The sequence below is a fragment of the Homo sapiens genome, chromosome 11 (assembly GCF_000001405.40).
Source record: "Homo sapiens chromosome 11, GRCh38.p14 Primary Assembly".
NCBI classification, from domain to species: domain Eukaryota; kingdom Metazoa; phylum Chordata; class Mammalia; order Primates; family Hominidae; genus Homo; species Homo sapiens.
Genome location: NC_000011.10, coordinates 99,272,388 through 99,297,534, shown reverse-complemented (window position 1 = coordinate 99,297,534; position 25,147 = coordinate 99,272,388). Strand labels below are relative to the sequence as shown.

The window sequence follows — 25,147 nt, the reverse complement described above, 5'->3', positions numbered from 1 at the left end:
TTAAAAATGAGGGCTCTTGGTAAAAGTCCCTCTTGGCCAAGAATGGGTTTGGCACTACAGCATGTCATCTGCTCTTCTCTTTGGATTAATCTGCCTTGCACTCTGTGCTGATGGCTGTGGGTGACAGGATTAGGGATGTACAGGATCGCTGACCATGGGGAGCCTTTTCCTCCCTAAAAGGGGAAACTTGAGAGATGATGGGACTGCTGGGAAAGACCCCTTTGCTACTGAGAAGCAGCTACCTGAACTTTTCAGTGTCGCTTCAATGGATGGGTCTTTCTCTGGCTTCCCTGATCATTTTGCCTTCCTCCCTCTTGTTTTATGTCCTTGGGAGCTTGACCTTGTAACCATGTGGCAGTATTTTCTATTAGTCTTCACCTGCCAGGGAACAGAAATGTTAGGGTTTATGTCATAGTTAGCTCTAAAAATTATCTTGAGTAGTTAAAAGCGTTTGCAAGTTCAAATTTAACTACTCTAGACTCCTTCTGGGAAGGACAATAGAGACTGCCCTGTGCTATAGCTCAGTAGCTAAGACTTTGGCCTTTCACACTGATGGTTCAATTCCCCACCTAGGAAGTAAGCCCTTCTTGGTTTAATATCTGCATAACCTTGTCTAGTCTCTCCTCCATTCACTATCTTAAATTTTCCTTTCTCTGGGCACCTGGGAGGTTACCTTTGGTAAAATTCAAAAGCCAGAAATATTGGCTTTTTGGCCTGGCTAAAATCGGGTAATAAGAAATTTTAAAAGGACTTCATTAAAGAGTACTATGGTTAAAAACCAGCTTAATTAAAAGTGGATATTCAAGCTCTAATAGCCTGGACTCCCTGGGAAAAACAGGAGGCACCAGAAACCACTTTCCTGGCCCTGTTTTTCCAAGGGCTCCACCCTAAAACCAATGTTTGGTTCCATATTCCTGGGAAGACAATCAAAGCTTCAGGTACATTTGGCTACCTGATGAGCCATTTAAATATTTATAAAGAGATTTTATTCAATTGTCATTTGCAGTGCATGCTTTTTGGTTGTATAACAGCTTTTCCATGCAAGAGAGCTGGTATTATAAAAGTAGATTATTATGCTACAGTGTATTTTCACCAGGTAAAGAAAGCTTTTTTATGGCTTACTGAGGATAATCTCTTCACAATCTAGAACCTGAAGATTGGATCTTCTGAGAACATCAGAGAAAGACTATCTCTGCCATTCACACTACAGCAAAATTTGTTAGCTTTGAACCTTGGGTTTATAATCTCACAGCTGAGAAGGGTGCCTCCATACTCCTGGAACTGTACACCCATCGGAACCCTTAAGGTAAAACTAACCAGGAAAGCTTCTCCCCAGAAAAAGATGACATCCTTGATGTGAACAACTTTTCCCAAGATCACAGATCAAGGCTTCTACTCTCACGAGACTCTTATCTTTGAATATTTTTTCCTTGTTTATGCCACTATGAACAATAGAAATTAAAAGGGGGCCTATTAAGTGCACTTATAGGGTATACTTTCATTTGTGAAGAATTTTGCAGCCAGCCTTATAAATGAATAACCTTATGCTTTAATAGATAAAAGATAAAGGCCCAATGTAGGTGAGAAACTTTAGTAGTACGTACGTTGCCTCATAATCAGTCAAAACTCTTTTTTTTTTTTTTTTTTTTTTTGAGACGGAGTCTCGCTCTGTCGCCCAGGCCAGACTGCGGACTGCAGTGGCGCAATCTCGGCTCACTGCAAGCTCTGCTTCCTGGGTTCACGCCATTCTCCTGCCTCAGCCTCCCCAGTAGCTGGGACTACAGGCGCCCGCCACCGCGCCCGGCTAATTTTTTGTATTTTTAGTAGAGACGGGGTTTCACCTTGTTAGCCAGGATGGTCTCGATCTCCTGACCTCATGATCCACCCGCCTCGGCCTCCCAAAGTGCTGGGATTACAGGCGTGAGCCACCGCGCCCGGCCAATCAGTCAAAACTCTTAACCCACATCCTGGATTAAAGAGAACATTGCCAGGAGGCCTTCAGTCTTCTAGAAGGACATCATTTGTTAGGCTCTTTTTCCATGGTTTAGAATAAAAGTGGCAATATTCAGAAATGTCTCACTCATAATAGGTTCTACAGCAAATTCTACTTTAAAGGCTATCATTACACAACAGACTTTAAATTCTCTTGTAAAAGTTATGCTAAATAATAGAATTGGCTAAACAGAAAAGTACCTGTGCAGCTATTGATACTTGTGGCTTATAGAGAAATACATCAAATGTAGATTACAATATTTCAGTTGTAGGGGATTAATGAAAATACTACTTAGTCAAGTGAGTAGACACTTCAGCTAGCTCATTCTTTAACCTATTTGTTTTTTGGTGGTTCGGTTTATGGGAATCCTGGATAAGGAGCATACTCTAAACTCTTGGTCATTTCCCTGGTGCACTGTATTCTCTCAAAGGTTTTAAATGTTTGCGTGCAGCCATCTCTAGAAAGTCAAATGGTCTCTCTTCAACTGGAATGACAGCAGCTGAAAGAAATGTGTGACCATGAGGACACCGTAAACTATGAATGACATTCTGAGACTGGAAACCCAAAATGATGGTAACTGAGAGTGGTGCTAAGGCCCTAAGTTACGGTCACAATCTCATGTAAGTGAAAACCTGGCCAACTCAGTGTATTTATTATTTCCATAAAAGAGTGGACATGTGAGGGGAAAAAAGCAACTTCAGAATTCTGCCAATCAGTTAAAGCCACAAAAATAGCTGAAAACTGCCCAAGAGAAACTACTGAACGTCGTCGACAGTGGTGTCTGTGATGCTCTAAATAAGGAGTATCCTCATTCCACCTCCATCTGTTCTCATTGGCAGAGTAACCAAAATCGCAGCATTGCAGATAATGGAGAAATATAGCCATGTTTACAGTTTTGTAAACAGTAACATCCACAGGGATTGCACTGGATCTGTAGATTTTTTTAAGGTAATATGAAATTTATAACAATATTACTTCATCCAATCCATGAACATGGGATATCTTTCCATTATTTTGTGTGTTCTTTTTAAAATTCTGTGATCAGTATATTACTGGTTTTATTATAGAGATCTTCCATTACTTTGGTTTAATTTATTCCTAGGTAATGTATTTTTCATACTCATTGTAAATGGGATTGCTTTCCTAATTTCTTTTTCAAATTGTTTGCTGCTGGCACATAGAAATGCTAATGAGCTATTTACACTGAGTTAGTATACTGCACCTTCACTAATTTTATTTATTGGTTCTAACAATTATTTGGTGGTGTCTTTAGATTTTGTAAGTAGAAGGTCACGTTTGCAAACAAGGGCACAAACAAGAGAAACTTTGGAACCACTAAATATATGAAAATTAAACAACATGCTCCTGTACAACCAATGAATTAATTTAAAAAATTAGGAATAACATTTTAAAGAGTCTTGGAAAAAATGAAAACACAACATTCCCAAATCTATGGGATACAACAAAAGCAGTACTATGAAGAAAGTTTATAGCAGTAAATGCTTACAGTATAAAAAAAGACTTCAAATAAACAGCCTAACAATGCTCATCAAAAAACTAAAAAAAAAGCAATAACATGCCAAATTCAAAATTAGTAGAAGGAAAGAAATGAGAAAGGTAAGAACAGAAATAAGTAAAACAGAAAACTTAAAAATTACAAAAGATCAATGAATAAAAAGTTGGTTTTTTAAAGATAAGGAAAATTTACAAACCTTTAGCTAGACTAAGACAAAAAGGAAGAAGACCCAAATAAATAAAATCAGAGTTAAAAATAAGACATTACACCTGGTACCAGAAAAACACAAAAAGTCATTAGAGACTATTATGAACAACCGTACACCAAAAAAATGGAAAGCCTAGAATAAATGGTTAAATTTGTGAACATATACAACCTTCAAATATTAAACCATGACAAAATAGAAAACTTGAACAGACTATAATGAACAATGAGATACAAGTAGTAATAAAAGTTCTCCCATCAAAGAAAAGCCTAGGACCCAGTGGCTGTATTGCTAAATTCTACCAAACATTTAAAGTAGAACTAATACCACGTATACTCAAACTGTTCCAATACAATTGAAGAGGAATACTTCCAAACTCATTCTACAAGGTACCCTGCTACCAGAACCAGACAAAGGCACAACAAAAAAAGAAAACTGCAGGCCAATATCCCTGACGAAGATAGATGCAAAAATTCTCAACAAAATACTATAAAAGTGAATTCAGCAACATGTTAAAAAGATCATTCACCATGACCAACTGGGATTCATCCCAGGGATGCAAGATAGGTTTTACATACATACATTGTGAGATAATGTGAAACATCACATTAACAGAATCAAGGATAAAAATCGTATGATCATTTCCACAGATGCCCCAAAGGCATTCAATAACATTCAACATCTCTTCATAATAAAAAAAGTCTTAACCAACTGGGTATATAAGGCACATATCTCAATACAGGTCATATATGACAAACCCACAGTTAACTTCTTATTGAATGGTGAAAACCCTTGTTTATGCCACTATGAACAATAGAAATTAAAGGGGGGCCTATTAAGTGCACTTACAGGGTATACTTTCATTTGTGAAGGATTTTGCAGCCAGCCTTATACATGAATAACCTTATGCTTTAATAGTTAAAAGATAAAGGCCCAATGTAGAGAAGTGGCTGGTCCATTTAATGTGTGTAGATGGCATCAAAGGAGTCCTATACTTTCTTCTACTCTACCTCCCAAGGCTTGGCCTCATCTCCCTTTGTGATTAAGTCCAGAGAGCTGGGGAATGTCAAGGCTGGTAAGCCTAGATTGTTTCATAAAGTGCTTTTTATGGAAACTTGGAGAAAATGTTTCAAATGTCTGTCCTCTCTTTAAAAAATAAAAAAATAAAATTTAAAAAGAGTTTTGCTTGACTCTCCAGACACACACTCAGTGGGGATTAAGTGAGCAGGAAAGTAGGTGGGAAGGAAGGACTGGACCCTTTCCTCTAAGATTTGGAACAAGACAAGGATGCCCACTTTCACCACATTTATTCAGCATAGTACTGGAAGTCCTAGCCAGAGCAATTCGACAAGAGAAAGAAATTTTCAAATTGGAACTGAAAACAGCAAATCGTCCTTTCCTCTATTTTCTTACACATAAGTGGTCTTTCCTTTGATTTCACTGGAAAGTCTTTCTTTTTACATCCCCAGATTTAGTATTACTTTGACCTACCATATTTTTACCTTTCAGTGATTCCCTACCTTTCAAGGGACTATTAATGTGGAAGTTTTTTATGTGTTTTTTTTTTAACTTTGTAAGCTTTTATATATATATATTTTCTATTTATACCTAGTCAAAGGCCTTTTCAATTCTATTGAGAGGACCATCAATATATACATTATTCTTTTATTTTTGCCAGAATGAAAGTGCTATCCCTATACAAAATGTAAATTACATTAGTACTGTTTCTACCAATCATTTAAATTTATGAATCGGACATTTCTGGGAGCACTTTCCTGCTCATGTAAGCAAATGGACCGAAAGTGGAAGTTAACCATCAACTTTGTTACATCAAATATTGTAATGTTTTTAAAAGCAACAGTAGCATCAATCCAGTTTGCAAAATCACAGCATGATTCAAATTTTAAGTATTGCCACTTATTTGCATTCTTTCTTCTCACCTGCTTTTTTTTCTTTGTATGAATATATCTTCAGAGCAGATGGTGGAAGATTATCAATAAAAGGCGTTGTTAGACTCAGTGTGAATCCACTAAGCTCAGTCAACATGCATTTCTTAGCTACAGGCTCATTTATTACATTCAAAACAGATCTTTTCTGTTGTAGGAACTTTCTGGTAGAACAGCTAAATTCTTTTTCTTATTAACTAAAGAACAAAGTATTCACTTTTCTGAGATAACCACACATTATACGATGTATAGCTATAAGTTATATAATCGTACACTTTTATTTTAATGTCACATTTATTTTAACAAATCATATTTTTCATGTTTTTTGTAGATTCATGTCTGTAGAAAGCACATTTTTTAGAAATAAAATCAGAAATTTATTTCTAACTAAAACGTAAAATAACTGGGCCAAAGGTAGTTAGAAAAGACAACTCCTATAAGACACAGCATAGCAAATGCTGTTTTAAACAATTTATTGGCCATTTAATATTATGTTTATCTACCAGTGTTGTTATTCCAGTGTAATAAAGATATGAGTGACCCTATTTTTGCAAAAATACCATCCTTGATAAAATATTAAGTAAGAAGTTGCCTTTGAAAACTTCTTTCTTAAATCCTTTATTAAGACAAATGAAGAAAGTGAGAAACAGAAACATTAATCTGTGCAGTGTATTTATCCAAATATGGCCTCACTAGAAAATGTTTTCATTTTAACAAAATAGTCTCTCACATTTTTATAGTATGATTATTACACTTGTTAAATAAATTAGAGAATCCCATTATTTTTCATGCCTGTTATTTTTACAATGTTCCTTAGTCATGAATTAGTTTTACATTTGGACACAGCACTGTGTTTAGCAGCACATACCTGTTGTTAGGCAGGGGCCTATTAATGTATTCTAACACATCATAGAGTATATTAGATAGAATATCAAGTACAGTACAGTTATGCTATAACAATAGTGTCATATAAACATGATATATAATTATCAAAGTAAGTTAAAGCATAACTTTAATGAAACCAGCAAAAGTTAGAAACTTTCACCAAACCGACATTTCATCAGTGATTACTGGAAGAAGCAGTTAAACATGGAAATTAAATATGAAATATAACAAGAATCTTCGTAGTATACAAAAGATGGACTCTGAAAGCTTACTGATGATGTACCTTTCAATTCCATTGATTGGGAATATACTTGGTAATCATTTTGGAAATGTAGTCTCATTATATCTTACATAAAATAAATTGCCAGTTGCTAGAAAAGTAATGCACTTCTTCCCTACCTGATCTTCAGCTCTAACAAAGGAATAATGTAAATACCTCTTTCTGTAGTAAATGTAGAATGAAAAATGAAACACCACCTCTGTCTATGTTACCTGCAGAGAACTCTGATGAGGCTGCCCACAGAAAATTTCTAGTAGCCTTAAATCACTTTGGTGAGTACTTGTGTTTACTCAATTTTGTGGGACCTTTAAGAATTCCTGGAGGTGTGTGGCTTTTTTTCTGGTCATATATGAATATAAATAGTAATCAAACAGAATAATCATAATCAGCTCCTTTAAAATTACAAGCACAAGTATTTGCATTCAATTTCTGCTATTTACAAAATGTCTCTATGCAAGCTTCCATATCTTCTACTTTTAAACAAGGACAACACCAATTTCTTCTTCAATTTTGTGAGGGTTACATGAACTAAATAAAGTGGCAAGCGCTCAATAAGCATTCAGTATATAAGGGTCCTAAGTTTATTTTATTTTGGGGGGGTTATAATTTTAAATAAGAAGGACAGTGTTCTGGAGGTATTAAAAATATTCAGAGTTCATTTTTAATAACTTCAGATGTAGCAGAATGTCTTTATACAATTTAAAAAAAGGAATATTATCAATATGATTATTAGAGAAGCATTTGTATTTTAAAAGTACTTAGTAATGTAAGTTCACGAGGAGACTATAATCATGCATATGCAAACACATTAGATGTTAAGCCAAGATGACTGTAGAAAAAGAGCTATCCCATTCATAGTCTTGCTAAGTGTTACCAAATTTAATGATGAGAAAACACATTCATTTCAAAGTCTAGTTCCATGAAATCATTCATAGCCAGGTAAAATATAAAAATAAATATTTTACAATGATCAACACTTGTCGAGAAATGTCCTTGAACATTTGAGAAGCATATGTCAGGAGATAAAAAATGGGTCTGAAAGATTAAAAGCTGCTCTGGAAAAGGAGGTAGAAGCTCTACAGGGATGATGATCAAAGTAGAATGGTCATAATTTGGAGTAGATTGAATACATAAAAGGTGACAAGAATATTTCAAACATCAGAGACAATAAGAAAGGAAAAATCACATATTTTAGTTGAGTGTATTGGTGCCCATCTAAGTGAATAAAATTTGCCAGTGAAGAGAGAGAAAGGATATTAAGTAGGTAACTATTAATAGCAATGTATACACTCTGATCTCCCAGTAATGTGATCTTCCATTTGAGATGACCTGAGAATATTAAAATATAAGAGACTACTTATTTTCTAGCCAAACAGTCTATGCCTAGTCCCTCCTAATTAATATGTTTTGTGACTATTTAAATGGCTTCAATAAAAAATAAAGATACAAAAATTAATGAACCATAAGTAACGACAAAGAAATATCTGGTACAGTTGCAGAGGAAGGAAGATAATAGCATAATGAATCTTTATTAGTCCAGACAATATGTTAGGTGCTTTCTTATGTATTATCACATCATAGTAACTCTGAAAAACTAACTCTAAGTGTTTATTATCTATATTATAGAGACAAGGAATTGAGAATCGGAAAATAAATCTTTAAGAAAAAACTGTAGTAAACAGTGGAACTGGGAAGGAAATCTAGATCTGATTGTTCACATGCTACTCTTTTATGATAGCTCTGTGAGGATCTAGGAACCAAATACACAGCCAAGTCCCAAGTCCCAGTAAAGATGCTTCTATACTGCAGAGATTATAGATAAGGATGAGTATACTCACAAACTAGTGAAACACTGACCCAGATGTATTAGCTTTTTAAATTACCCACTTAAGGATATTTATTATAAGTAATTTTTCAAAATAATAGTTCATTTTATTTAAGCAAGGGTGCTGTAATGAAATTTGTTTTCATAGAGCCTTTGAAGTGAATTTAGTTTTCATGTTAAGTGTGAGACTTGACAGGCATAGAGACACAATTCTTCTATTCCTTTGTAGAGAATGAAACTCAGAAATGACATTACACTAATCAAAAACAGAACTACATTAAAGCTGTAGTCATCATCCATGGTGATTAAAAAGTGTGATAAATGACACTGAAGCAAATTATGTATCTTGAAATTGACACACAATAACACTAAGATCAATTACATCATTGGACAGCTCAAGATGATATCAAATACTGTGATGAGAGCATAATCTAAAGATGATCATTTACAAGAGATTAAATTACTACATTCTTTTAATATCAGTAGACTAACATCCCAATAAAATTACATCATTTTCAAAACCAGAGAACCATTGGAACATTCTAGAAAACTTCTTGCAGACATGCTCACAGAGTTGACTTCTAATTGGCTAAATTTCAGTGAGTGTCCTAATTGGCTAACTCCAGATATGCTTTAATGATAATATAATCTTGTAAAAAAAAAACCCTGCTTATATATAGCAAACAATTTGCTTTCATATATTCCACAAGCTAATTACCCATAATCATTTGGCTCATTTGCTTATACACATTTTTGCTTATGCATGGATGTCAGCAAGGAAAAATACAAAGAAAACAGATTTTTTCTTGTTCATTTTTCCATGTAAGCATAGACATCTGCAGCACAGTGCTGACAAAAACACTGAACATACCAAAGTGAAGAGGAGGATAAGGGTCCTTGAGAATGTGGAATTAAACGAGAAGAGCATTTGATTGTCGCAATTGGAACAACAATCCTCCTACTCCTATTCCTCTTTTTCCTTCTTTTTTCATTTATCTTCTTTCCTCTTCTCCTTTATTCCTCCACATCCTCCCCCTTCTTTTCCTCCTCCTTCTAACTTATAATTATTTTACTTTAGATGTTAGAGAGACATGAGTTAGTCATATTAGAATACTTTTTTTTGAAAAAGTATTAATGTCCTTATATACTATTGTAGAGTTACATTTTCATTGGCTCCTAATCGTATGCATAACAGAGAAACACACGACAATATTATCTATTCACTATGATGAGTGTCAACTACTAAATTCCTCATAGTAATTCATAGAAACTGAATCATATTATAATGTTTTGATCCTCTATATTCTCATATAATCCACTTGTAGTAGGAAAAGATTATTGGGACAGTATAATTTGGATAAGCAATAGCTTTAAGGATGGCAATTTCTTAACTTCCCTGCCTGTAAGCTGTTGGTCTTTGTGAATAATGAGAGAGAAGGATGTTTGAATAATAGGAGACAGTCTTATAAGTAGAAATTAATCTGAAAGGCACTATTTTTTTCCAGATAAAGCTACATTAATTTTTCTAACTTCCTAAAACATGCTTTTAAAATCTCAAGGAGGCATCTTCACCTCTTCTGGTCAATGTCCAGGAAAACACATAATAATACTATTTCAGCTTCATTAAATAAAATGTATTTCCTAATTGAAAGGATAAAATGAAATGAAATATGAATGTCAACAAGTTCAACCACCTAAGTGCTCTACTTACAGTATTCTGAGTTTTTACATAGCTTCTGCTTTAAATGTTTCCAATGAAAGAGCACTTGTCACCTTGCTGTCTTTTCCACATGACAGCCTTTTAAATATTGAAAGGCAGTTATCATGTTTCCCCAAAACTTCACTTTCCAGGCAATGCATACACAATTTCTTCAGAATTTTAAAGGTATTGTTGAAAGAGTTATGTTTGACATATTCCAAATTCAGAGGATAACAACCTTAGTACAGGTTTTAGAAAACTGTTAAAATAATATAGCTTAGTTAGGATTTGCAAGTTTTTAAAATGTGGTATATTTTTAAATTGTTCAAGAGTAGTAACATATTTTTACTTCAGAGAATTTAGTTTAAACCTTTTCTTACATTATAAAGTTTCTTTTTGTATTTTATGCTAAAAAGGCTTATTTTGTTTGCTTGAATCTATAAATCCAGATGTACTGTGAAACAATTTTTATTTTTATGGATTATTCCATTTAGCTCCAGGAAACAAGAAAGTATTCTTGTAGCAAAGGTTTGTAAACATTAGGCTTCTTTTGTTATTATATTTGATATCTACTGACCTAAAATTTTAAGGATTTAGACATCATTGATGGCCTATGTGTTAATGAGTTTAAATGATTTCTTAAATAACTAGACTTATTTAAATACCATTTTTAACATTAAGTCTCCTACTAAGTCCATAACTAATATGTTCTTCACGTTCTCCTTATCCATCTTGGAATATAAGACAACTCTGATGTGAACAGCTGTTTGTCAAGTTCAAAATCATGCTGAAGCAGGTTTTACCTCACTCCCAGCATTTCTATTTCTGTAGGTTTTACTTCCTTAGCAGCTCAGGATGTTAGATGAGTTGGAAACGGGATAACAGCAATCTGAATAATAGGGCCAAGTAGTAGGTTGAGTGCAGGACAAAGTTGTGTGTGTAACACATATTTAGGGGATGATAACTGAAACAGAGCGGGTACCTCTCCCATCTTTTTGTATAACAACAGAAGATTTTTGCCAAATCTGCTTCTTTCAGATAGTAACAATAGAAAGCAGAAAGAAATAGAAATAATATTGAAAGTAAATGGAAAAATATGAAGACTCTGTTACCCAATTTTCTCTGCTTTTTTTTTTTTTTTTTTTCTCCAGATGGAGTCTTGCTCTGTCGCTCAGGCTGGAGTGCAGTGGCGCAATCTCACCTCGCTACAACCTCTGCCTCCTGGGTTCAAGGGATTCTCCTGTCTCAGCCTCTCAAATAGCTCGGATTACAGGTGCCCACCACCACACCTGGCTAATTTTTGTATTTTTAGTAGAAACGAGATTTCACCATGTTGGCCAGGCTGGTCTCGAAGTCCTGAACTCAGGTGATCTGCCTGCATTGGCCTCCCAAAGTGCTGGGATTACAGGCATGAGCCACCGTGCCTGGCCTTTCTCTGCTTTTCATATGCATTTTTCATTACTATGAACTCCTCTGTGTATCGACAGCTTCCTTCTGTGGCATATCATCCTTGCTGACTACTGCTATTGTTTACATTCTAGTTCTCTACTAGAGCACAATACAAAGGAATCTTCATTTCTTTTTTTTTTTTTCTTTAACTTGAATGTTCTTCTCCTCCTTGTATCCTCTGCTTATTTAAATCTTGTTTAATGAGCAAGGACTTCTTTACTGAATCTTCCATTTTAAAAAACAGCACCCTACTTTAGTAGACATCAAAACAAGGGCACACATTCAAATATGAATCAATGTTCCCTCCTCATGAAATCTCACAGGATTCCTGCTGTATCCAGATACCCGTGGCTGATGGAAGGAGTGGAGTCAGAAAAAGAAAAACCCTAGGAGTATCATTATTTACTCAATAAAATTGCTTCTAAATGGAGATTTTTAACACTAAAGGAAGTAAAATAAATTAATTGGCAGGTTTTAATTCCAATAGATCTTTCCCTTAGTACAGTAGACGTGCAATAACAAATTATGTTAGTTAAAGAAAATAAACTCATTTATCTGCCACATCTGAGTCCAGAGTAGAAATCTGAGAACTCACTAGGTGCCTACCTGGAAGGCTAGGGGTGACAGGGGAAACCACACATTCACATTTGTATTTTCCTTATTATCACTATCTAGATTTTCCAAAGTAACTACAAAAATTTTACATTTTATAAAAAATTTTAAAAATAAAATAAACAGAAATTCATATATAGCAATCCAAGCAAAAAGTGTCCGATATATTTTTAACGATGAATTTATGAAAAACAATTAACCAAAAGCAAGGCAAGTAGAAGGTCATCTTCAATTCCAAGAAATGCTCATTCTTTCCTATATGATATCTATATCTTTATCCACCTATTTATCTACTATCCAGCAGCATGGGTTCAAAGTAAAATAAAAGTAGCTGGAAATGTAGCCATTATCCATGTTTTATGAAGAGCTGACATCAGCTCAGTCTTTTAGGGAAGACTAGCATTTAAACAACTAACTATAACTTACTAGGCCAATATCCTTAGTCATAATATCATACACACACCACACACACACACACACACACACACACACACACACACACACACACACACACACACACACACCACTCATCTCTGGGGTAAACAGTTCTTCCAAGAAATAATTATCAAAGGAAAGCTGAGTTCCTAAGGTCCTAAATAGACCACTGGTAAACAAGGTAAATAAGAAAATATGTCACAGGTAAGGTAAATAAGAAAATTTACAAGGTAAATAAGAAAACAAGTCACCGTTGGAGCCACAGACCTGGTACTATAGATTTAATTAGCATAACAGAAAAAGTGTTGAATAATTTCTTGATATATAATTTAAAATAAACATTTCTCAAGACAGAACTCTAAAACTGTTAAAATATATCCCATAACATGTCATGTGTGCATTTGTGTGCATGTGTGTACGTGTGTGTGTTTAAATTCCATTATGTTTGTTTGTAGAGACTATTGTTCTAGAATTTTAAAGGAACTCAATTTCCAATAAATTCCAAAAACAATTACACCTCTAGTATGAGACTAGCCTGGTGTTAAGCACTCCACTGACAAAGCCTAGGAGATTATTTGATAAGAGAACCATAATTCACTTTAAATCTTGGAATGTGTATAGAGTCAATTGCTAGTACATAGATACATTGATTTACACTAGTTATGTGACTTCAGCAACCTTGTTACCACGCTAAAGTTTACTTTGAAGATCAGATGCATATGTTTTTAATACATATGTCCAAAGCAGTCTTGCAAGGTTAATGTACTGCTCGTATGAGGCATGCTTCTTTAAACCATTCTAGACAATGGTATCAGTTAACCCTTTTATAAGATTTCTTAGTAATCACTTCCAAAGTTTAATATCCTTTCCTATTCCCTTCATTCCAATACAGTTGAATCTAAATTCACTCATTTTTCTCCTATGGCAATTGGACATTTCTAAAAAGCAAAGCTACTCTTTTTTTTATATGATCACATTTTGTTTCCTACAGCAATTCCAAGTGTGTAATAGTTTCCCTGCTTAGCACAGTGCTCGTTACAAACTAGCAAACAACTGGTCTTTGTAATACAATGCTATGCACCAAATAGAATTTTTATCATCAAGTATCACTATGTCATATATTCCTTGAGGCATTTAATTTAGGCTTGACAAAATAAAAGTGGACTGAATGATTCTCTTTTTTTCTGTTTTCTTTCTAAAACTATTCAGATCTTTTTCCTACAACTCTTAACAAAAACTAGATACGTAGATGGGGAAAACAAAAGCACATGTGTGTGCATGTGTGTGTGCACATGTGCATGTGTGTGTGAGACAGAGAGAAACAACACTGACGAAGAGTACCATAGATTTTTAGCTAAAATTTTTAGCGAAAAAGTGCTAAATTTTTAGCTAAAATTTTTCAGAAGTGTAAACCTTTCTTTTCTTTTCAAAGGTAATATATTGATACAATAATTGATTAAACCATTTGTAAATACTTTAAAGAAAGGACTGAGAGAGTAAGAGTCATTCTTCCCAGAGGTAGTGGTCACAGCATGAGAACTCAGAGAAGGTGGTTCTGGCAAACATTTTACGTTGACTAATCAAAGGACCAATGGACTATTTCCAACATGCTCTTCTTGCCCTCTTTCCCCAGGATATCTTGAATTTGAATTAGCCACATGACATCTTTCTGGCAAATGAGATATGATACGTCTGTTGAATTGTAGGAGGCTTTATTTTAGCTCCTACATTTTAGGAAAAAAAAATGAGCCTTTCTTCCATTTGATTGGGGATGTCATGCCCAAGACTATAGCCATCTAATGGCCATTGGGGAAAGGCCCCTGATAATTCCACAGATGCTGACTCCCAGGTCTGACATTACTGTGAGCTGAAGGAATACCAGCAGGAATCTAAGTAGGGGTTTCCTTTGTTGAGGGAAAAGTAACGCTTTCCTGTTTAAGTTACTGTTACTTAGAGTTTACTTTACTAGCAGCTGAAATCATTAGCCACACAACAGTCAGTGGTAACTTTTCTGTGTTTGCTTTCCAAAAGACCGCCCCAGATTTATTCGAGGATTTAATGTTGGCTTTCAACAGATAAGAATGTCACTTTAAAAATTGTTAGACATAATATGAATGTGCATTTCCCATTATCCTTGAATTTTACCATAATCTTCATTTCTTTACTTCTCTCTAACCAGTGCACGCTCTCTCACCTCTACTCTTTTGCTCAAGATTTCCTTTACTTGGAATATCAATCCATACCTAGCAGCTCACATTTCCCTCATCATACATGGAAAAATGTTATTCCCTTTTTGGTTGTTCTTGTGAATTTTTACGTCTCAACTCAGATATCATCTTGTCTTCTGAGTGAACCTTACCGTAGTACTCAGCATGGCCCCACAATGCTATTATCTATTTCTTTTTCTCTGTCATAATAGCTTATTGTCCATATTTGTATTATACACATATTAACTTGCTTAGTGGATGTTTATGTTCTTGTTTGTTTTCAACACTTAAGGCGAGACAATCTCTCTTATTGTAGGAAAAATTGTACTGAGTTTATGCACATTTTTTTCAGATCGTGAATAAAATTTTCCGGTTATAAACACCAGAGCAGACAATACCAACGGGGACCTGTTTTTCTCAGAATCATTCTTGTGTAGTTTCATACACAGTAAAACAAAACAAAAAAACAAACAAAACATTTGGTGGAGCACAGATAGACTACTTATAGCTTGATAAAAGTAGAAGCTTCTACTTCCGAAAATTCTGATTATAAACTGGAAATCCAAGCCCAGAGGCTCCAACGTCCTACTTTAAATGACCAGTGCAAGAAAATCCTTCAATCTTTAATCATTTCCTGGAAACACTCTAAACATTTTATGAATAAGTGAAGTAAAAACATTTTAATAATAAAACACTTCAAAATAGTTCTAATAAAAATATTAGTCAACAAAACATATAAACTGTACTCAGAAGAAAATTCAATATCTTAATAAAATATGATTATATATTGAAATAAAGTAAACAACCCAGCAAAAGAAGAGGGAAACTACTGGTAAAGATGCAATAAAGCTAATGATGACATAGAAGTTATAAAGACCGTGAGTTTCATAAATGAAAGCAGGTGAGTCAGTCAGGACCCAGGGAGAAATATTTAAGGATGCACTTATTCCCAGGTGTTGCACAAGCAGGGTCAGGCAGAAACCTGTGAGTGAGAACCACCTGAGCTATGGATAAGATGCTCTGGACATAGGTGAGGAAGCACTCACTCTTAGCTGATTTTGCACTTACATCAGTGTTACAGAAATTGCCTTTTTACATTTTGAGCCCTTGAATATCTCACTTGCCTCACTCTAGATCTGGCAGTTTTGTTTCATGGTATTTATATGAGGATTTCTTTTTGTTATTCTGGCTTGGGGTTTCTGCTTTCTGAATCTGAAAATTCCTTTTATCTTTGTGGATAATTTCTAGCCACAAACATATTAAATAAAAACTCTGATCATTCTATTCCCCTCTCTTTGCTTTCTCTTTGTCCTGTCTGAATCCTTAATCAGATCTTTTAATTCTATTCAGTAACCTGTCTTTGACATTTTCTTGTTATCTATGCTTATTCTGATTAATATCTTCAAATTTATCTTCAGGTTTAGTAATTGTAATCCTTGGTTGTTAATCTATTGATCAATCCATGCACTGATTTTTAAATTTTTGTGATTTACTAGAAATTTTATGTGATTTTTTTTAATCTGCAAGTCTCTTTTTATTTCCTTGATTCCTTGATGTTGTTATATATAACTGTAAATATATTCAATATAATTAACTATTAACTATTAACTAATAATTATTAATAACTTGGTGACATAATTCATTCATATGTTATTTCTGCTGACTTCATGAATAGTCCATTAAGTCCTGGTACTTTCAAAAGATTATTATTAACTTTAGATTATGTACTTGCAACTGGCTTATTACTGGTTCATATATATGAAAAGTCTTTGGGGCTTGGATTGAGAATACATTCCTCCAGAGAGCATAAATAATACTGTATACTGTATAAAACAGAGATCCTCAAAGCCATCAGAGATTGGGTCTATAGCTATAAAATTTCAGGGTGGAGATTTTGGTTTGTTCATTTTTTTTTTTAACCTAGAACCCAGGTAAACAGATATGTTTCCATATTGTTTTTCTTGCTGGCAATTGAATTTTTTTCTAGTCAAACCTTTCATTGAATGTGTACCTTTTTCAGTTTCATAACTTTATTTGAGGTTTGGTTTTGGCATTCCACCTTAGGTAGGCTCAAAATCATGTCACCTGTGATCCTTTGTCTAAACGATTTTGATGATATTAAAACACCATTCTAATTTAGATAGAAAAAGCCCTCATTTATTTCTCATAGCTTTCATCAATTGCTTTTGATTTATTTCATATGTGTTAAATTTTGCAAAATTCCATTTATTCCTTTGTTTTGGAGGGTACATCTTCTTCATCCCAATTTAAGCCCCATGAGAAAAAATATATAGTATTTTTTCTTTTGTATTTATATTGTCAGTGTTCAGCTCAGAACCTAAAATAAAGTAGGTATATAAATACATTTCATAAATGGATGAATCAATTCCTTTGTAAATATACCCTATTTCCAAATTAAACTATTTCTCTTATAATTAAAGAAAACTATATTACCTTTAAAAATATCCTGATTTTTTTTCTTTTTCTGAGTCGATTGTAAAGAACAGATATATTATGCTTTGTTGCCTAGAAACCTCAGATTGTGTCTCCCCCTCTTTCCCCATGACGCAGACATTTAAAACACCAAACCCACCCTCTGTGCTTTCAGGTGAAAGCACCGAGCCACCTGTAATTACTGATAATACACACTTTTGTGCAAAAGCTGCGTTACTTTTGATTGGCATCCTCACAAAATTGCACAATATTATCGTGGAGATTGAAGAAAAAGCATTTTTAAAATTCTGAACTTCAGCATCATAATCAAGCAATGTAAAAAATACTAGATAACACGGACTTATTCAATTATTAAGGTATCTTTTAAAGTTTACTGAAGTATAAAAATACTACATGATGGAATGGTTTAATGACAACCATATCAGTCCAATGCAGTTCAAAGCTGCCCCAACAAGCCAGTTAAACTAATTTGCAAATGTCAAGCATGTCCCTTTAAACTGGTTCATTAACTCACTTTTGGAAAGCAGTGTCAGGAACTAGGAGTTACTGGCATTCCTCATTAGCAGATCTCCTGGACAGGGTAAATAGGTTTAGATGGAATTAGATTGATTAGTCTGTCTTAGAATTCAGTGCAGCATAGCAAGTTTCAACTGTTTTTTCTCTGGTGGATAAGAGTGAAATATTTCTAGCAACCTAAGTTTCTAATGAAAAGAAAGTGTCTTAGCCAACCAGCAAACTGAGGTTCACTAGTTGAGACACATATGTATTTTGGTGTAGCTTCCACTTCAGAGTTCAGTAACAATAGAAACACCTAGTTGAAGAATACGAAGGAGGAGGCAGTGAGTCCAATAGGTTTGACAGAAAGATTAAATATAACCGAAATGTATTCAGTGGAAATATTGAAATAACAAAACACCAAATGGTTGACTGTTAGAGTGGCAAGGATAGAGTACTTCGCAAAGTATATGTTTTTATAGTGGTGTTTAATCCCCTGGATTCTTCATTATAATATGTCAATATTTTCACTTGACATTATACCTAAGGCCCTGATTTTTCTTTGAAAGGTCTGAGGCAAGTTTAGGAATGGAATCCAGGTCACAATGGAACGGTCCACTATATTGACAGGACTCATTGATCTACTACCAAGAATGTTGTAGAACTAGTGAAAGTGCTTTGTGCTGTGGGATGTGCTTTTCAGATACATTTGAATAATGTATATTTAATACAGATTACTACATAAAATTATACTAATTAATGGTCATGAGTGAAGATGTCCTACTTCTTAATTTCATCTGAGATATTTACTAGTTAGATGACCTTGGATGAGGTATATAAGCTCTTGTTGCCTCAGCTTGGTAAAGTGCGGATAGCAATGCTTTTGTGATATGACTCTTCCAAAATAAACATACATAAAGCATATATTAAAGTGCCTATGAAAGATCAGGCATTCAATATTTTAGCTCCTTATCATCATCCTCATAATCACTATCATCATCATAATCAGCATCTCTATTATTTTATACCAAACTTAATCTCAAGTACAAAAAATTTTGAAATGGTTTTTTATGAAAATCTATTAAATTTTTCTAAATTATCTTATTTTTTAGGAAATGTGCTTCAGTGAGAAAAAACTTGAATTCTGAAAAAGGACAAACTTGAATTTTATATTCAATGATTTTAGAGTGATATTTACTCATCTCCATCCTCATGACTACATCTGTTAAACTTACCAGTTATTCACAGGGTTCTTGTGAATAAAATACAGCAAGTGAAAGCCTAGCCCACTGTTAGCACATAGTAAGCACATAATAAATATTATATTCAAGTACACCCCAGACCTTCCAAGCATTTCCATGTTACAACAGATTCTCGTTTTGCTAAAGGAAACACTGACACTGTGTGAGGAAAAAAGGCTCCTGAATATCAGTTTGTTAATAATGAAGTCAACTAGATTCCTGAGTCGGAAACAGGCTTTGCTTTCTTTGTGTAAAAACAACTTACGTGAATTATTTTGTATTTGAAACCCGTGCTCCAGTCTATACCTGTCTATGAAAAATTGACCTCAATAATCAGAACTTCCTCTCTTTGTAAATCAATGTTAGATTTACCCAGTTCTGCATTGTTGTGTCGTGATCCAGGGAATTTTGTAAACCCTGTCTTGGTTTTACAAATACTTCTGTAGAAGACACTAGTCAACTTTTCGCTTTTTATCTATCGTAGTTCTTAAAATGGCTCCATTTTTTAAAATACACTAAGTCACTATAATACATGTTGTTTTTCAGGAACCTATATTTAAAATACAAATCAAAGAAGCCAAACTTTCTTTGAGTTATACAACAGGATTTCCTCTTTGACTAGAGGAGTTATAAATATAGTTCAGTACTGCAAATAGCAAAAATGGTACATATTTGAAATGAGAGGATAAAAAAAGAAACACGTCTCTTCTTGCCATGAACTACAAACACAATGTCCCAGAAAAAAACAATGTTGTCAGCACAATTCAAGAAATAAAACAACAAGCTGTCACTGGTCTTTACATAGCAGTCTGGTAATGACAAAGAGAGCAAGGCTTCTAAAAGGGCCATTTCAGGTTCAGTGAGTCTCAATGGTGTGAGTGCATGAGTTGCCAAGGGTAGAGTCACATGGAAGTCTAGGAAATGACTATATAAAGACATCAAACTGAGAAATGATATGAAGCTAGATTATTAGTATTCAACTGCTGGGGAGCAGTACATAAAGAGGCTAATGATGTAAACAGTGATGACAGACTAGAGAAAAACCAACTGGTTAATAAATATATGGAAGAATGTCTGGCTTAAAATTTTAAAAAATGAAACTTCTCCTGGGTACCTGTATTGCTTCTAATTCAAATCAACTCCCTCAGCACCTAGCACAACACAAAGCATATTCTTCTATGTATATGATTAGCAAAGATTTTCAAAATGATATGTATGTTGCTTTAGAAAATGAGGCCCTTCTTACTTTAGTAATAACGGTTTAAACAGGCAAATGGAAGTAATAGAAATAAATGAGTAGAGTTGTTTTTTAAAGTTTATATCACATATCCTAATAATTGCAGCCTTTTGACTCTTCTTTTGCAATAATCCTAATTATAAAAGTATTATGTGCAAATATCTTGATTTTAGAACTACTTCTTTATAGGAGAAAATTAGAAATACTTAAAATATTTCACAGTGATAGAATGACTAAATTATGACATAAAACTTGATAGAAATAGTAGCCCTTAAATAATATTTGTGAAAAGTGTGTATATATTTGTATACATATATATAGTTTGTATAAAAAAATACACTCAAATAAAAATTTTCAGAAGGTACTTTTTTTACCACTACTACAATTCCTGTTTCTATTGGTACACTAATAGATATTATTTATTAAGCAGTTAAAATTTCTAAGACATTCTTCTTAACAATTTATATTTAATATATTTCTCATAACTTTATAAGGTAAATTGTTTTATTATTTCCACTTTATAGATGAGAAAAGTAGTTTGCCCAGTGATCACAAAGCAAGAGTGAAGCTGGGATCTGAACTCAATAAATTAAATTTTAAAAAATTACAGGAAAGATACAGATGCTATTCGAAATTCAAATTAGTGAGGTGTAGTTTTAAGTATTCATTGATTATTTAATTATTAAATGTTTTATTATTTCAGAACATAAATATGTTTTGTTACCTGTTTTTCTGCGTTCATGACTTGGGGAATCAAAATAAATATTTAAAAATCTGGGCATGTTTTGCTTTTTGACAAAATGTTAATTTCTAAAGTAAAGACATTTCAACTGAATGCGACAAATGTTTTAACTTTGAAGCAAGATCCATCTTATACCTGTATCACTCAGAGTTTCAGAATCAAAGAGACAGCACACCCAATGAGATAATTGAGAAAAGTTAAATCAGGGGAATATTGAAGAACTTGTGAGAGCAGTTTTTTTGTAACTCCCCAGGGGATCAAAGGATTCCCTCACTGGAATTTATAAGTTGGGCTTTCTAGGAAAAGAGTGGGGCAGAGAAGAGTATAGAGAAGATCTGCCTGTGGTAGATTTTTTTTTTGTTCAAATATGGCTTCAATTATTTCTCTTTCTGTATCCATGTTCTTTCAATGTGGTTTTGCAGCATCTCCCATCAAAAGGATAGGCCTTGTAACTTTTTTGGTCAAATGTAATGCAGCATGATATCATGCCAGTCTGAGACTAAACCTCAAGGGGCTTTGCACACTTGCACTTTATATCTTAGTTCCTTGCTCATTTGCCATAAATCCAACCACATTCTAACCTGCTGAGTGATGACAGACTATATGGTCACAGTTGAATACACTTAGTTTCCCCAGTCAAAGCCCAAGTCATGTGAGAGAGCTCTGCCAAGACGAGCAAATATATACACCCTACTCACAAAACTGCTCACAGATTCATGAGGAATCCCGCTGACCTGTGAAGTCATTAACAATAATAAATGGTTATTATTTTAAGTTAATGAGTTTTGAGATGTTTTGTTGGAGAAAGACCTAACAAGTATAATCACTTCATTGGTAGGTTTATCCATTCAAAAAGCATTTATTAGGCATGTTTTATCAGCAGAGCATTATTCTAAGCACTGCATAGGTAGAAAGATAAAATATGAACATATATAATTTAATTATAGTATAAAAGGTAAGCAAAATCATAATTTTACTTACATTTTTCTGTGTTTTAACCACACAGAAAAGACTACTTTAGGGAGTGGAAATATATTTAAAGAAAGGAGACAAGGACAAAAAGGATAGCAAGCACTAAGATGAAAAAAGATGTGTTTGTTGATTGAGTTTTTTTTTATATATCAATGAACTTGGCTTGTCAATGAAGTCAATAGAGGAGGCAGCATTTCATGAGGCTAGGGGTCTTAAAAACTTTTTTATTCATTATATATAAGTAAATATTTTATAATTAACTATGGCATATACACACATTTATAGATATATATTCATGTCCAAGTTATGTCTTAAATACAGAAATATATAAAACCCTGGATACTTGCATTATTTTGTACTTTCAAATTATAAACTATCAATACTATTTTGATGTGTTGTAATTTATTTTTAAGTTATTGTGATACTACAACTACTGGTAATTAATAATATTAATTACTATACACAGCATTTACTGAGCACTGGCAGCATTGTAATCAGTTTTTGAAAGACATTTTCTTACAGCATCTGGGAGGCAGTATTTTCTCCATTTACTAATGTGGAAAATGAGGTTTAGAAAGATTAACTTTTTTTAGGTCTCAAAGCTACGAAGTGTCAGAGCTGGAATTAGAACACACAAACACACACAAACTATAAGAAGCATTCATATATATATATAGTAGAGGTATTCATATATATATAGTAGTTTTTATTGATATACTAATCTCAAGATGAGGATTGCTACCTCACTGTTATGAAAGCATAAAAAGTAAATCACAGTTAATTATATTTCCATAACATTTGAATTAATACAAAAGATACTAATTATATATCAAACACTATATTGTACACATTTACAATGTACTGAATGATATCAGCCTGAGGTTTGTTGTACTTAAAAAACAGCTTCTCAAAAAATTTTAAAGCAAGCCAGATTTTTAGTATCTCTGAACACTGGTACAATGCTCTGTTAAAAACAAAAAGAGTAATTAAATATTTTAGAATGTTAACACATATTTCAGACAAGTCAAAAAAATTTAGCCTGTTTGAGATTAGCTTCTGTCACCACGATATCATAGATTCAAATTAGGGATCTTAAACAAGAGAAAGTAATAGCACAAAGCAAATATAATAAGCTTACTGCTCCTAAACTATTAAGCCCCAGGTATAAATTGATGAAATAGCACTGCAAAATGGAACATTCTGTGATGATGGAAATGTTTGACATATCTGCACAGTCTAATATGTTAGCCACTAGCTACGTGTGGCTACTGAGCACTTGAAGTATGGTTAGTGTTACTAAGAAACTACATCTCTAATTTTATTTAATTTTAATTAGTTTAAATGTAAATGTGAAAGGCTACTTGTGGCTAGTGGTCAACACAGGTGTAGAGGATCAGTTCTGAAAGGTAATATCTTTTTCTTCCCTAAAAGTTCCTAAGAAGCAATGTATTTTTTTAGTAGTCAATGACAAAACTGATAAAAAACAGAAAATATTTTTATATCTTGTAGGCTTTGAAGATGATTTGACTATTCAAAAAAAAAATCATAAGTATAATCAGATTTTTATGGAATCTAATTTTTATTAAGATCTTTATGTTAGTTATTAAATTCAATCATGTCCATAAATTACAACGAATGACATAATATACAAAACAAATCAGAAATTTCTCAATTATCCCAAATTTCTTCAAGAAAAAAGGTATCAAAATATATTTTCAAACCAGCCGAGATACAGAGATTTGGGAACAATATATTTTTACAGCATGAACGTGTGACATCTTAGCTAGGAAAGGGCAAAATTTCTTTTCTCATTCCGATCGGCTTTCACTAAAGTAGAAGCAAGAGAGAGACAAACACCAGGAAGAAGGATAAATCAGTACTTTTCATTTCCTAAGAAAAATGGTTCTGTACAAATAAAGCTGACTCCTCCCGTTGGGATACACTAGAGAAGCGGACCTAGTATTGAACGACATTTAACATTTTGTTTAAGTGAACTGACATTTTGTGTTGAGAATAGTCTAGAAGATGTTAAATAAAATTAAGTTTGTTTCCTCTTTTCTGTTGACGTTAATGTACATGAATGAGATTAGAGAGTAAAATCACATGGGCAATATAGGCTTCCCGAGCTCCAAACAAGAATTGGTGCATATGTCCCTTCTGTTTTTGGCTTTTTCCCATTTAGACCGCTCGCCTCATAACTCTAGGATTTACGTATCTAATTAGTGGTTTTCCTTACTCATTTTTCTTTCCGTGACACTCTAAGCTGTAAAGCCAAGGACATCCCCATGACACAATCATTGTTATTTGTATTGTATAAATTAAAAATTGTTTAGACAGGCTTTCAGTGTCTCTGTTAGAAATGTAACTTATACTTCACTCTCTCAATGTAAAGTTCTTAATTCGATTTGAATACAAAATTTTATAAGGAGTATTTTCTTTAAATGTTATAAGTTTTTTAAAGTCAATATAGGGACTGGTATAGATAAACTAGTTTATATTTATGCTTCTGCTAATATTAATTTGAATTTTAATACATTGAAAACTAAATGTGTATGTGGAAACCAAAAGAACTGTTTCTTCCTGTGGTCACACTGGAATGGTGTATGTTTGTGTTTTATTTGAATACAATTAACACTTTGTTTAATGTAAGTATCATGGTACAGATTAATTTTTAAATTGTGTGCATTTCACCATAGTTCCCATGTTATGTAACAGGATATATCTAAATGTGAGAAAAGAAAATAATTAAAATTATACTTAATTTAGGTAAAATATAATTAAGTAAAAATAATTATTTTTGCTGGGCATGGTGGTGTGCACTTGTAGTCTCAGTCACTCAGGGGACTATGATGGGAGGATTGTTCGAGGAGTTTGAGGCTGGCATGAGTAACACAGCAAGACCCTGTGGCTAAAATAATTTTGTAAAAATACTATTTTTTCTTAGATTAAAAAGT

At 33.5% G+C, this 25,147-nt stretch overlaps 1 protein-coding gene across 11 annotated transcripts in view, besides 2 other annotated features; it reads right to left on the bottom strand.

The window, feature by feature from the left end:
• Positions 1 to 25,147, bottom strand: part of CNTN5 (contactin 5) — a 1,337,937-nt gene that overhangs the window by 1,061,351 nt on the left and 251,439 nt on the right. The gene's annotated exons all lie outside the window — the stretch shown is intronic.
• Positions 6,806 to 6,975: an enhancer, noted in NCBI's record as "experimental_22162 CRE fragment used in MPRA reporter constructs". NCBI's record gives its function as "activates a minimal promoter by MPRAs in K562 erythroleukemia cells, with activity observed for both the introgressed and non-introgressed 11:99161376 variant alleles {active_cell/tissue: K562}" and the evidence as "EXISTENCE:reporter gene assay evidence [ECO:0000049][PMID:34662402]".
• Positions 9,880 to 10,049: an enhancer, noted in NCBI's record as "experimental_22152 CRE fragment used in MPRA reporter constructs". NCBI's record gives its function as "activates a minimal promoter by MPRAs in K562 erythroleukemia cells, with activity observed for the non-introgressed 11:99158302 variant allele {active_cell/tissue: K562}" and the evidence as "EXISTENCE:reporter gene assay evidence [ECO:0000049][PMID:34662402]".